General features: G+C 47.4%; 1 protein-coding gene and 1 long non-coding RNA gene across 5 annotated transcripts in view, besides 5 other annotated features; one reads left to right on the plus strand and one right to left on the minus strand.

The window, feature by feature from the left end:
- NUDT16-DT (NUDT16 divergent transcript) overlaps positions 1–823 on the minus strand; it is a 56,384-nt gene extending 55,561 nt beyond the window's left edge. The window contains exon 1 of the long non-coding RNA NR_038976.1: positions 681–823. This is a non-coding gene — a long non-coding RNA (NUDT16 divergent transcript). The remainder of the gene's footprint in view (positions 1–680) is intronic.
- Positions 431–700: an enhancer, noted in NCBI's record as "active region_20532". NCBI's record gives its function as "activates an Ori minimal core promoter by ATAC-STARR-seq in GM12878 lymphoblastoid cells {active_cell/tissue: GM12878}" and the evidence as "EXISTENCE:reporter gene assay evidence [ECO:0000049][PMID:35858748]".
- Positions 811–1,110: a silencer, noted in NCBI's record as "silent region_14737". NCBI's record gives its function as "represses an Ori minimal core promoter by ATAC-STARR-seq in GM12878 lymphoblastoid cells {active_cell/tissue: GM12878}" and the evidence as "EXISTENCE:reporter gene assay evidence [ECO:0000049][PMID:35858748]".
- Positions 811–1,561: a biological region, named in NCBI's record as "H3K27ac-H3K4me1 hESC enhancer GRCh37_chr3:131100488-131101057".
- Positions 992–1,561: an enhancer, noted in NCBI's record as "H3K27ac-H3K4me1 hESC enhancer chr3:131100488-131101057 (GRCh37/hg19 assembly coordinates)". NCBI's record gives its function as "activates a minimal SCP1, AML or CMV promoter by ChIP-STARR-seq in naive H9 embryonic stem cells {active_cell/tissue: H9 hESC(naive)}" and the evidence as "EXISTENCE:reporter gene assay evidence [ECO:0000049][PMID:30033119]".
- NUDT16 (nudix hydrolase 16) lies at positions 1,019–8,178 on the plus strand. Of its 4 annotated transcripts, NM_001171905.2 has the most exons (4): positions 1,019–1,093; positions 1,394–1,663; positions 2,510–2,620; positions 2,692–8,156. In NM_001171905.2, the coding sequence occupies exons 2-4, from the start codon at positions 1,394–1,396 to the stop codon at positions 2,788–2,790; spliced, it is 480 nt and encodes a 159-aa protein (NP_001165376.1). In that variant the 5' UTR covers positions 1,019–1,093; the 3' UTR covers positions 2,791–8,156. The 4 variants fall into 4 exon arrangements, 3 of the variants coding, with proteins under 3 accessions (NP_001165376.1, NP_689608.2, NP_001165377.1); NM_152395.3 differs by lacking the exon at positions 1,019–1,093 and adding an exon at positions 1,122–1,290 and having other exon boundaries at positions 2,510–8,178; NR_033268.2 differs by lacking the exon at positions 1,019–1,093 and having other exon boundaries at positions 1,122–1,663; positions 2,510–8,178.
- Positions 1,562–2,130: an enhancer, noted in NCBI's record as "H3K27ac-H3K4me1 hESC enhancer chr3:131101058-131101626 (GRCh37/hg19 assembly coordinates)". NCBI's record gives its function as "activates a minimal SCP1, AML or CMV promoter by ChIP-STARR-seq in naive H9 embryonic stem cells {active_cell/tissue: H9 hESC(naive)}" and the evidence as "EXISTENCE:reporter gene assay evidence [ECO:0000049][PMID:30033119]".
- Positions 8,179–10,642: the final 2,464 nt, after the last annotated feature.

Below are 10,642 nucleotides of genomic sequence, written 5' to 3' on the forward strand. Positions count from 1 at the left end.
TCAGGCCCTGAGTAGGCCTCTGCCCTTGTGGTAGGGTAACCCACCCTCCTTCATAGCTCAGAGGTCTGAGGGGGTTTGAGGGAAAGACTAGAAAGCCTAGGAGGCTTCTTCTATCTCTCACCCCTCCTCACTCCCAGTCCTGTGCCACAGGATTTCACTCACAGCTCCTTCCACCCCCACCCTTCCCCTGAAAATCTCACTGCCCTGTGACTTCTCTATGTGCCACTCCCTGTGCGTCAGACCCCCACGATCAGCTGCCCACTGCCTATGGCCACCCCAATTCCTTAGAACTACACTTATCACTGCTCACCCTTCTCCTACTCTCCCCCTCTCAGAAAATGACACCACATCCAGGAAACTCGGAACCACCACTAGCCCAGCGCTCCCTCTTCCCCATTCACTCAGTCACCAAGTCCCCTCAATTTCACCACTCAAGATAGTTGTCAGACCATGGCGCCTGTCCATCTCCATTTCCCTAGGATAGGCCTTGGTGTCTGAGGCCAACCCTGCCTCATTTCCTCCTAACCCCCACCCAGGCCTTGTGCTTTGTGTACCACCACACCCAACCAAAGGTAGTTATTACTTCTTTGGCTCCCAGCACTCAACTGAGCGCCCCAGCTCTTCCTCACCTGCCGGGACACTCCAGCTGACTCCAGATTGCGACGCAGGCGTTTACGTACCAGCCTTTCTCCAGGTTCAGGGCGCTGCCACATCTTCAGCCCCGACCCGCCGCAAGTCTCATTTCCTCCTAACCCCAACCCAGGCCTTGTGCTTTGTGTACCACCGAACCCAACCAAAGCTAGTTCCCTGACTTGCTCTTTTGGCTCCCAGGAGCCTTTAGGTACCGGCCTTGCGCCAGGTTTAGGGCGCGGCCACACCTCTAGCCCCGCCCCACCGCAGGCCCAACCCAGAGGCTGCTTTCGGTTACCCTAGGGTTCCTGGGCCCTGGACTTCAACCCGGTCTGCAAGCCCCGCCCTGATTAGCTGCCTCCCGCACCGGTCGCGGCGCCCCGCCCCCAGGCGCCTAGGTTCCTCCCCTTATCCCTGCAGGGATTGGGCCTTGCAGCACCGCCCAGGCTCGGATTGGTCCGAGGTGAGACCCGCCCCTCTGCCCATTGGGCCTTCGGGACAGCAGAGGAGCAGTGTCCGGCCATGGCCGGAGCCCGCAGGCTGGAGCTAGGCGAGGCCCTGGCGCTGGGGTCGGGCTGGCGTCATGCGTGCCACGCTCTCCTCTACGCGCCGGACCCTGGGATGCTCTTCGGCCGCATCCCGCTGCGCTACGCCATACTGGTGAGAAGGGGGCGCGCCCGGCCACTTTCTGCCTGAGCCCCGCACCCTCTCTGGTGGTCTCCTCTGGGGCGCCCCTGCCAATCCCCGCTTCCCCCTCCCGCAGATGCAGATGCGCTTCGATGGACGCCTGGGCTTCCCCGGCGGATTCGTGGACACGCAGGACAGAAGCCTAGAGGACGGGCTGAACCGCGAGCTGCGCGAGGAGCTGGGCGAAGCGGCTGCCGCTTTCCGCGTGGAGCGCACTGACTACCGCAGCTCCCACGTCGGGTCAGGGCCACGCGTTGTGGCCCACTTCTATGCCAAGCGTCTGACGCTCGAGGAGCTGTTGGCTGTGGAGGCCGGCGCAACACGCGCCAAGGACCACGGGCTGGAGGTGGGACCAGCCTGGGACTCTGTCCCTTTCCCAATTTCCTCTTCTCCCAAAGCTTTCTCTCCCCCAAGAAAGCATCCCTGGAGAAAAGTCTTTGCCCCTCTGACCTTGCCCTCTCCCCAGCTTTCTTGGTGGAGTTGGGATCGTGATCATCTATACTCTGAATTAGTACTGCCAACCTGGGCTTTCTGTAAAGGTCTTTCCCACCCTTTACCAGGAGAGATCCTTTCTAGAACACACTCATCCATGTCTCTCTGCTGTTCCCTATTGACAGTGTGATAGATTATCACATTATCTAGGTGTGGCAACCTAGGTTTTATTCTTGGGGTTTGCTTTTCTTGTGTAGGAGATGTGGCCCTGATATTTCAGGCAGGGCTAGTAGATAGATTATGTATGAAGGTGGTTCTCAAAATTTGGCAGGTAGCAGAATCATCGGGGCGTCTTATTAAAATAGCGATTTCTCTCAGCATTCCTGCATTGGTGGTGGGGCGGGGGGAGAGGAAACCTGAGAATTTGTAGTTTTCAAAAGTTCCCAAATAATGCTGATGCAAATAATCTGAGGACCACATTTTGACAACCACTGGTGAAAGGGTATGAATACATCTTTGAGGCAGTAGCCACTAGAGGTTTAGAAGCAGATGTGGGAAAGATTAATTGATAGAGCTAGATAATATGTTTTGGGTCATTTTCCTGCAGAAGGTTGGGCCACTAGGCTTTAGTGAGGTGTGAGCCTTGGGCCTGGTTCTGCTGGAGTATTAAGGGGTGAGGCCTGATCTGCTGGAGAAAGGATGGAGTTAAGGGAATGAGCCACCTGGGGCCCTAGTGTCTCCTGTCTCCTTCCTTTTACAGGTGCTGGGCCTGGTGCGAGTGCCCCTGTATACCCTGCGGGATGGTGTAGGAGGCCTGCCTACCTTCCTGGAGAATTCCTTTATTGGCTCTGCGCGGGAGCAGTTACTTGAAGCTCTCCAGGACTTGGGACTGCTGCAGTCTGGCTCTATTTCAGGCCTTAAGATTCCAGCTCATCACTAGAGGCAGCCCTCCATGGACCCATGAAAACTGAGATGAGGACCTTGGTACTAGGGAGGGAGGGAAGGACGTGGGAATGTTTTCTTATTGGATCTGAGAGATGATACATGATACCAGATGAAAAGAAGGAGAAGTGTGTACCATATGTTTTGAGCAGAGGACCCTCCAACTTATGGCATCAGGGGCAAAAAGTCACAGCTTATCCCAGGCACCCTGGCAGGTTCTCAGAGCCTGCCTCCTCCCTGTTTATATGCGTACAGCCTGGTAACCCCCAGGCATGCAAATATACAATCTGTAACAACACACAGCCTGACACCTTCCCCTGGTCATGTCCAGTTTAACCTTGAAGTGGCATTTGTCACACTACCCTGGTCCCTGATTGCAAGGAGCTTCTGAAGCAAGGGTGAATCCTTCCCACACTCCTCCATGGTTGCCCTCCAGGGTCTAGCCCAGCCTATTTGTTAGGGAGGATAGAGAAACAGAGCACCCCCTGTGCTTTCTGAAAATAGACTTGCTCTTGTCTTGAGTGGTGACCAAAGCAGTTGGCTCTTAAAAGGTGGGAGAGCAGCCCAACCAATCCCCAATCCTTTTCTTCTGAAACTGAGCAGGAAGGGTAAGGAAGTGGCTAGGTCTCCTTGGACTGAGCATGGACATGAGTCCTGTGAGGACTGGTGTCTCTCCTCTAGAGCTTTCATCTTTGGGATGCCTGAGACTCCGAGACTATCAGAAGGGAATTGACCCACCCCAGTCTAGCACCACCCTGCCTTCACTTCATCTACATAAAGGTGGTATAAAAACATAGACTGGAGGAGGTAATCCATGGAGAGAGAAAAAGAAGAGGGCTCAGGACAAGGCCCTGAGGAGGCCCAATCCTAAAAGTTTGGGCAGAGGGAACCAGGCACGTTAAAGAAGACAGAAAGCGGACTATGCAGAGTGCTTGTGAGGGTTTCACTAAAACAGAGGCAAAACTGTCCATTGAATTCAGTAACATGAAGTGTTTGATGACTATGATGGCAGCAGTTTCAGGAAGGGCGGTATGGAAGGCAGGCTGTACTGGTTGAGTGAATGGAAAGTTGGGGAGTAGAACGTGTGAGAAGTTGGCCTTCAAGGGGCTCAGGTTAATAATAGAGAGCTATGGAGTCAAGGCATGTTTAAGATGGGAGGTAGAGCATGCCAATATTGATGGCAACAGTCAAGATGGTGTGATGAGAGAGATGGGAGGGGCACAAAGAGGAGGACCCCTGAAGGAGCAGAGTCCATGAGAAAGAAGGAGGGATGGGACCTTTGTAGGAAGAGACACAGTCCTGCAGCCTCATATGGCTCAATAAAACAGAAAGGGGCAAGTATAGAAGATTAGGATGACTAAATTAATGGGGAAATGATGAAGGAGTTTGAATCTCTTCTTTGTGAAATGAAGTGAGACTATCAGCTAGTTGTGGGTGGAGTGTGTTCTCAGAAGGTATGAAGTAGATGTTTTCCTAGGTGTTGGAAAACAGGTTGATTAAGGCAACAGCAGAAGGGCAGGGCAAGGCTGAGCTCTGAGATGGTCAGTTTAGAGTAGGATGCTGGGCACTCAGGTGTGTGTGTGTTGAGTGGGGCTCTGCACACACCTGTCTTCCCCTCATCAGGATTCAGGAGCTGGGATGGGTACACTTACTGCAGTGTTGGGGTTTTGCCAGGGAAGTAAAAGGAGTTGAGAGAAAGATGGGTCAGTTCAGAAGACATACACAGGAGAAATTGTAGTGATGAAATGTGCAGTCTAAGGTTTAATCTGACCAAGAAATTGGAATTGAAAACAGGAGGTGACTAGGGAGGGATTAGGAAATTAGAGGTCTTGACAAGATAGAAACTCCAGCATGGTGAGGGGTTGGGCAGGGAGGTATATTTGAGCCAGACAGGAGTGCTTTGGAAATTGAGAGGTGGAGCAATCTCAGGTAAAGGCAAAATAGAGGGTATGACCTGGGGTTGCTGGCCAGAGCCAGGGAGGAGCCTTAAGAAGTGAAATCTAGGGTTGGCGAGGCTGGAGGGCAGGGTGAGCCTCCACATGGGTGCTGAAGCAAGAAACCGACAGATGTTGAGGAGAATGGTGTGACCTAGGAGTCAGCATCCTTGGTGAACAAGAGGAGTGGCCACAAGGCCAGTGGCACCTGCCAGAGGGGAAAGCAGGCATGACAGGATAGCATCTCCCAGGTGAGAGCCTTTTGAGGAAGGGAGGGTGGGCAGTGGTCTGGAAGCTTGATGCAGAGCAGTGTGGGTCCCACTGGCAGCCCTTGGTCTTAGAAGAATGGGAGTACCCAGTGGGGGAGCAGCTGTACAATGAGGTAGACTCCTAGAGGTTAATTATCATCTCCTAATCTTACCCTGACCCTTTTGTCAAACGTTATCTAGATTAAACCTCAGTATAGGCAGGCTGCAGGAAATGGACATTCCAGTGGCCCCTGGGGTTCCAGCCTGTAGCAGCTTCATCTGTGCTTTGTGCACTTGGTTCTCAGTCATCTCTGCAAGGGACCCTGACGCCTGGGAGATCAGAGCCACTGACCCTTTATGGCACTGCTAACAGACCCCTTCCCTCAGGTAATTCTGGATCCAGAACTCATTATGGGATGTAATCCAGGTCAACACTAATACCACTTGGAAGGTTCCGCTCTGTCTCACTCTGCTTGAGTATCCCACTGATCAGTCTCTCAGTGCCTGCCTACTGGGCAGCTCATCTGTCCACTTATTCGTATTAAATTTGCTTTTTATTTAGGTCTCTGGAGATGGTTGCGTGGGGAAGAGCCCATGACTTTCCTATATGATCCCTTGAACATACTCTCCAAGTCAGTAGATTACCTCTCAGGCAGCCTTCATAAAAGTGTTTCACTGTACTGGGGTTTGTGTTCATCTCACTCACATAGACAGTCTCTGGGTAGGCAGGTGGGGGGTGATACAAGTTCACACTCTGTGTTTCTCCTCCTGTTAGCCATTCCCACCCTGCTGATGTTTAAGGAAAGCCAGGGATGATGACCCACTTAAGCTTTCCTTGGCCTTGTTAAGTCCAATCATCTGGGGCAGGAAGAAGAGAAATGCTCATTGCAATCTTTGACCCCCACTAACTGCTGTGGTGACTTTGACCCAAGCCCTTGACCTCCTTTTCCTTATCTGAAATGTTGCTGTGATTCCTGTGGTGAGATCAGATGAGGCAGCACTTGGGATAAGCTTGCAGAGATGCATTGAGCGGTATGAAAGTACAGGATGCTATGTACTTTCCTGCTTCACAGCACATTTTGTTTCTTGCAAGGTGAGTGGCCCAGCCGCCTCTCCACAAACACGTGTTTCTGCCTTTCTCAGCATAATCAGCAAGATGTTCCCACTTCTCAGCATTGCACTTTTCTGCTGGTGCAGAATAAAAACACTTTGAGCCCCACCCTGTCCTGAGACAAAGTCCTCTGTGGTCACTTGGCATATGGCAAAGCTGCTGCTGTGGGCTGGAACATTTGAGGCAACAGTGACTTCCTCCTTTCCTAGTTACCGGAACCCTTAGAGCTGGGAGCCGGCCAGTGAAACAGACAAGGGGAGGGGAAGAGAAGAGGGAAGGCATGTTTCCTATATGAGTTTCAGTTTGTTGCACAGAAATGTTTTTGAAACCTTTATCTCCAATAGAATCACAAACGGGTGTCAGAGAGTCAAAACTAGAGGAAAAAGTTTAGTCTGTAAACAAATCATTAGATGGCATCAGAATTTGAACCAAAGTAAAAGATGCTGGACCTTGGCACTTATCAGAGAAGTATAGAAGAGCCAGGTAGGGGATTTTATTTACAACATGTTCAATTCTGAGGAAGAGGAGTATGGGCAGGGCAGAGGAAAAAGGAAAAATGGGAAACCCCCATGGACTTAGGGCCCCCACAAAGAGAAACCATGTGCCTTCTCCCCACTTCCCTTCTGGCTTGGGCAAATGAGGCTCCCTTTAGGGGTAGAGGTACTCTACAGGGGCTATGTTCCCTTTAGGGGTAGAGGTAGTCTACAGGGGCCAGCTGGGCAGAGATGAAATCTTGCAAAGGAACCCTTCTTACACTCGAAAAGCAAGAATAGCAAAGGGACTTTGGGAAGGACATAAAACAAGAAAAGGAAGCTCCTCACCAACAGCTCCCAGATGGAGGGAGTTTGTGTGTCTAGCATTTTCACCAAAGTGCTGCTCATCCTGATGCACAGATGCAGATTGGAGCTGCTGCCTGTGCCCTCACCATGGGTATGTACCCACCACAGGCATTCCCAGGTGATGCGGGGGCAGAGGATTCCCTCTTTCCACTCAGGATAACAACCCCTCGATGGGGTTTTCAACAAGTATAGAAAGCTCCTGGACTCAGCCAAGACCCTCACCTACAGTCCCAGTCCTCCCACCTTCTTCAGGTCTCTAGAAGACAGAACTGATGGGTTTACAACATCCTATTATCCAGCACTAGTCCTAGGTTGTGGATGTAGGGAAAGGCCAGGTAAACAAGGAAGGGAGAACAGGTGAATGACCCCAATTGTTTGAAACCAAAAGAGCAGAATTGCCCCTAATTGATTTAAGTAAACAGCAAGTAACATAGGTCTGTTAAATAGAAGAGGATGTGAGCACCAGATGCACGTGATAAAGACCATGCTCTGGAAGATTCATTCCAAGGAGTAGAAGTGGTATTTACTCAGGGCATTTAAGGAGAGCAGGGACTCTGAAATGAGGTGAGAGAAAAGATAAGACATGCAGGAACAGCTGGCAACACCAAGAAAGAATTTAAGGAGAGGGATCTCTCTGTTAGAGAACTTAACATTACCCTAGGAACAGCAAGAGCATCATCAGCCCCAGGAAAATCTACCTCTGATATGGAGACCAGGCTTAAGAAAATCCCCTAGAACCCAGAGAAAAAGTGCAAAACAAGGAAAATGGCCAAAGAGAATATCATAGATACAGAGATCAGACAATGAGAATCCAGAGTCTTGTTAAGTGATAGAAGGAAAATACTAACAGAACACATGTAACAGGAACAACATTTTAGAGGAAACAGGACAAAAACTTCCCTAAACTCAAGATACTACACCAGAAGTGGGCAGTACTCACTATGTTCAGGGGAACAAAAAGATAAAAACTAAAAAGCATCAGACTGTTTTTTGTGTGAAGGAAATTTGTAAGGTAGGAGAATTAGGTCACTTACTACAGCACAAATTGCATGTCTATCTAAATTGACGTTTAAGTGCAAAAGCATGGATATTACTCATGCAGTTTTACTGGAAAACCATACAGATGTTTTTCAGGAATGTACAGAATGAATCAAAGGAAATAACTGATCGACAGGAAAACTGTAGGAAATTTGTGGGCTGGCTGTGAGGCAGTGGCTCCTATTATGTACAATTTTAGTGCTAAGTACTGTGTTAATGATGGCTATCAAACAATATGTTAACATCTGAAAGGAAATATGTATATTGAGCATAATAAATATTTTATAAATAACAATAAATCATTTGATTTTATGCTAGTTCCCAGGTTCTCACTTATTTTAGTAAAAGTGAGTAGTGAGGAGGGAGAAAGAAGCATAAAAATGTGATTCTGCTGAGGAAATTAGCAGGATTTGATTTCTGAAAACGGTAAGACTCGTGAAATTTTACTATTTCAAAGTACATACCAAAACAATATGATTCTGGCTGAATATGAAAAGATGAGAAAGAATGCCAGGGAATTACAGTAAAAAAGTAAGAGATCATCATAATATTAATATCAAAGGCACTAGAATTCTTTAATTGATCAAGAGATTATCCACAATAATCACATAATCACCAACAATTTCAGATTATATACAGCAAAGTCTATTAGAAATTAAGAAAATAGTATTAATTAAGAGAGTGCTAAGATACTTTCAGTCAATGTTTGACAGTTAAAATGTCAGGTGTAAGTATGCCTATGTAGTATTGAAAAAGAATAAAAAGGAAGATGCTGATGACAATTAACATTTTAGGGATGCCTACTGTGTGGCAGGCACTATTCTAAGCTCTTTTCATGTATTAACATATTGAGTCCTTAGAACAATCTTATGATGTAAGGATACTATTGTCTTCATACTCGAAACAGACTCAGCACAGAAGTCAAAAATATAATGAATGTACTTTGCTTAAATATTGAGCTCTGTAACTTCAAGCAGTGAATGTAATTTTAAAGGGTCAGGAAACATTTAGCAAATTAGTCGTTTATTGGACCTTATAAAACCTCAGTAGGCCGAGCACAATGGCTCATGCCACCGAGGCATGTGGATCACCTGAGGTCAGTAGTTCGAGACCAGCCTGGCCACCATGGTGAAACCCCATCTTTACTAAAAATACAAAAAAAAAAAAAAAAAAAAAAAAAAAACTAGCCGGGTATAGTGGCGCATACCTGTAATCTCAGCTACTCAGGAGGCTGAGGCAGGAGAATTGCTTGAACCTGGGAGGCGAAGGTTACAGTGATCCGATATCGTGCTACTGCACCCTAGCCTGGGTGACAGGGAGAGGCTCTATCTCAAAACAAACAACAACAAAACCTCAGGGGAACATCACACACTGGGGCCTGATGGGGGTTGGGGGGCTAGGGGAGGGATAGCATTAGGGGGACTACCTAATGTAGATGACAGGTTGATGGGTGCAGCAAACCACCATGGCACATGTATACCTATGTAACAAACCTGCACATTCTGCACATGAACCTCTGAACTTACAGTGTGTATATATATATATATATAACCTCAGTAAATCCTCTGGTCTTCTATCACCCTCTAAGAAATAATAAAGCACATACCAAGTTCTGGACCACATGTAGTAAAACTAGAAATAAATTACAGGGACAGACACTCTGAAATATTCCTGTTATGCCTTTCTATATTGTTCGAATCTTGCACAATATGTATGTATTCTATGGTCATAAAATGACTAGTTAAAAATAATAAAAAGGAACTATTTTTTTCTTGTGGTGTATAGAAACCAGCCCTACTACATCTAAAAAAACAAAAAAAAAAGGGCTCATGGGTAAGTGGGGACCTATCCCAATAAGCATTTTGGGGTAATATGTGGAGTTGAAGGAAGATCTCTTCCCCAGCCCCAAGTGATCAAAATCAGATTAGAGGCTGATTGATTGACTCTGGGCCGTGTGCTCGCATGGATCCCCTGTGCTGACTGGAATATGCAGTGTGACTGGGCCCTCTGCTCTCTCTGTGGCCAGCAGGGTGGAGAGTTGTGATTGCCAGTCTCACCAGATCAAGATCTGGGGGAGAAGAAGATCTGTATGGGAGGAGGCAGTATATAGCACAAACACCTGATGTCCACCACACAGCAGGGAGAACAAAGCCAGGTGAACTCACACAAAGGTGCAGGGCCAGAGACCATGTTATGTTAGAAGCATGACACAGGAAGGGGAATATCACACTCTGGGGACTGTGGTGGGGTGCGGGGAGGGGGGAGGGATAGCATTGGGAGATATACCTAATGCTAGATGACGAGTTAGTGGGTGCAGCGCACCAGCATGGCACATGTATACATATGTAACTAACCTGCACAATGTGCACATGTACCCTAAAACTTAAAGTATAATTAAAAAAAAAAAAAAAAAAGAAGCATGCCCTATGGCATCCAACCTGGAATTATGAGGATAATAAAAAGGAAACAAGGCTAGAAATTAATATTGCCAGAAGCTAGTCTGTGGAAAATTCTTCCTAATCTTACAGCTCATATACAAAAACAAACAAAAACACAAAAAACTTGAGTTTTTTTTAACATTTGAGAAAAATTTTAAAACTTTACATTATGTTACCAATAACAAGTTGTGAAACCAAAAAAAACTGTTTAAACTATCAGTAATTAAAAACACAGTTTGATTACCATCCTAGAGGAAAACTGAATAAACTTCCAATTCACCATGTGTAGAATGATAGCATAAAATTGTCATATGAAGACTAATCAAATAGTATGCAACTAAAA

The sequence above is a fragment of the Homo sapiens genome, chromosome 3, assembly GCF_000001405.40.
Source record: "Homo sapiens chromosome 3, GRCh38.p14 Primary Assembly".
Taxonomy (NCBI): domain Eukaryota; kingdom Metazoa; phylum Chordata; class Mammalia; order Primates; family Hominidae; genus Homo; species Homo sapiens.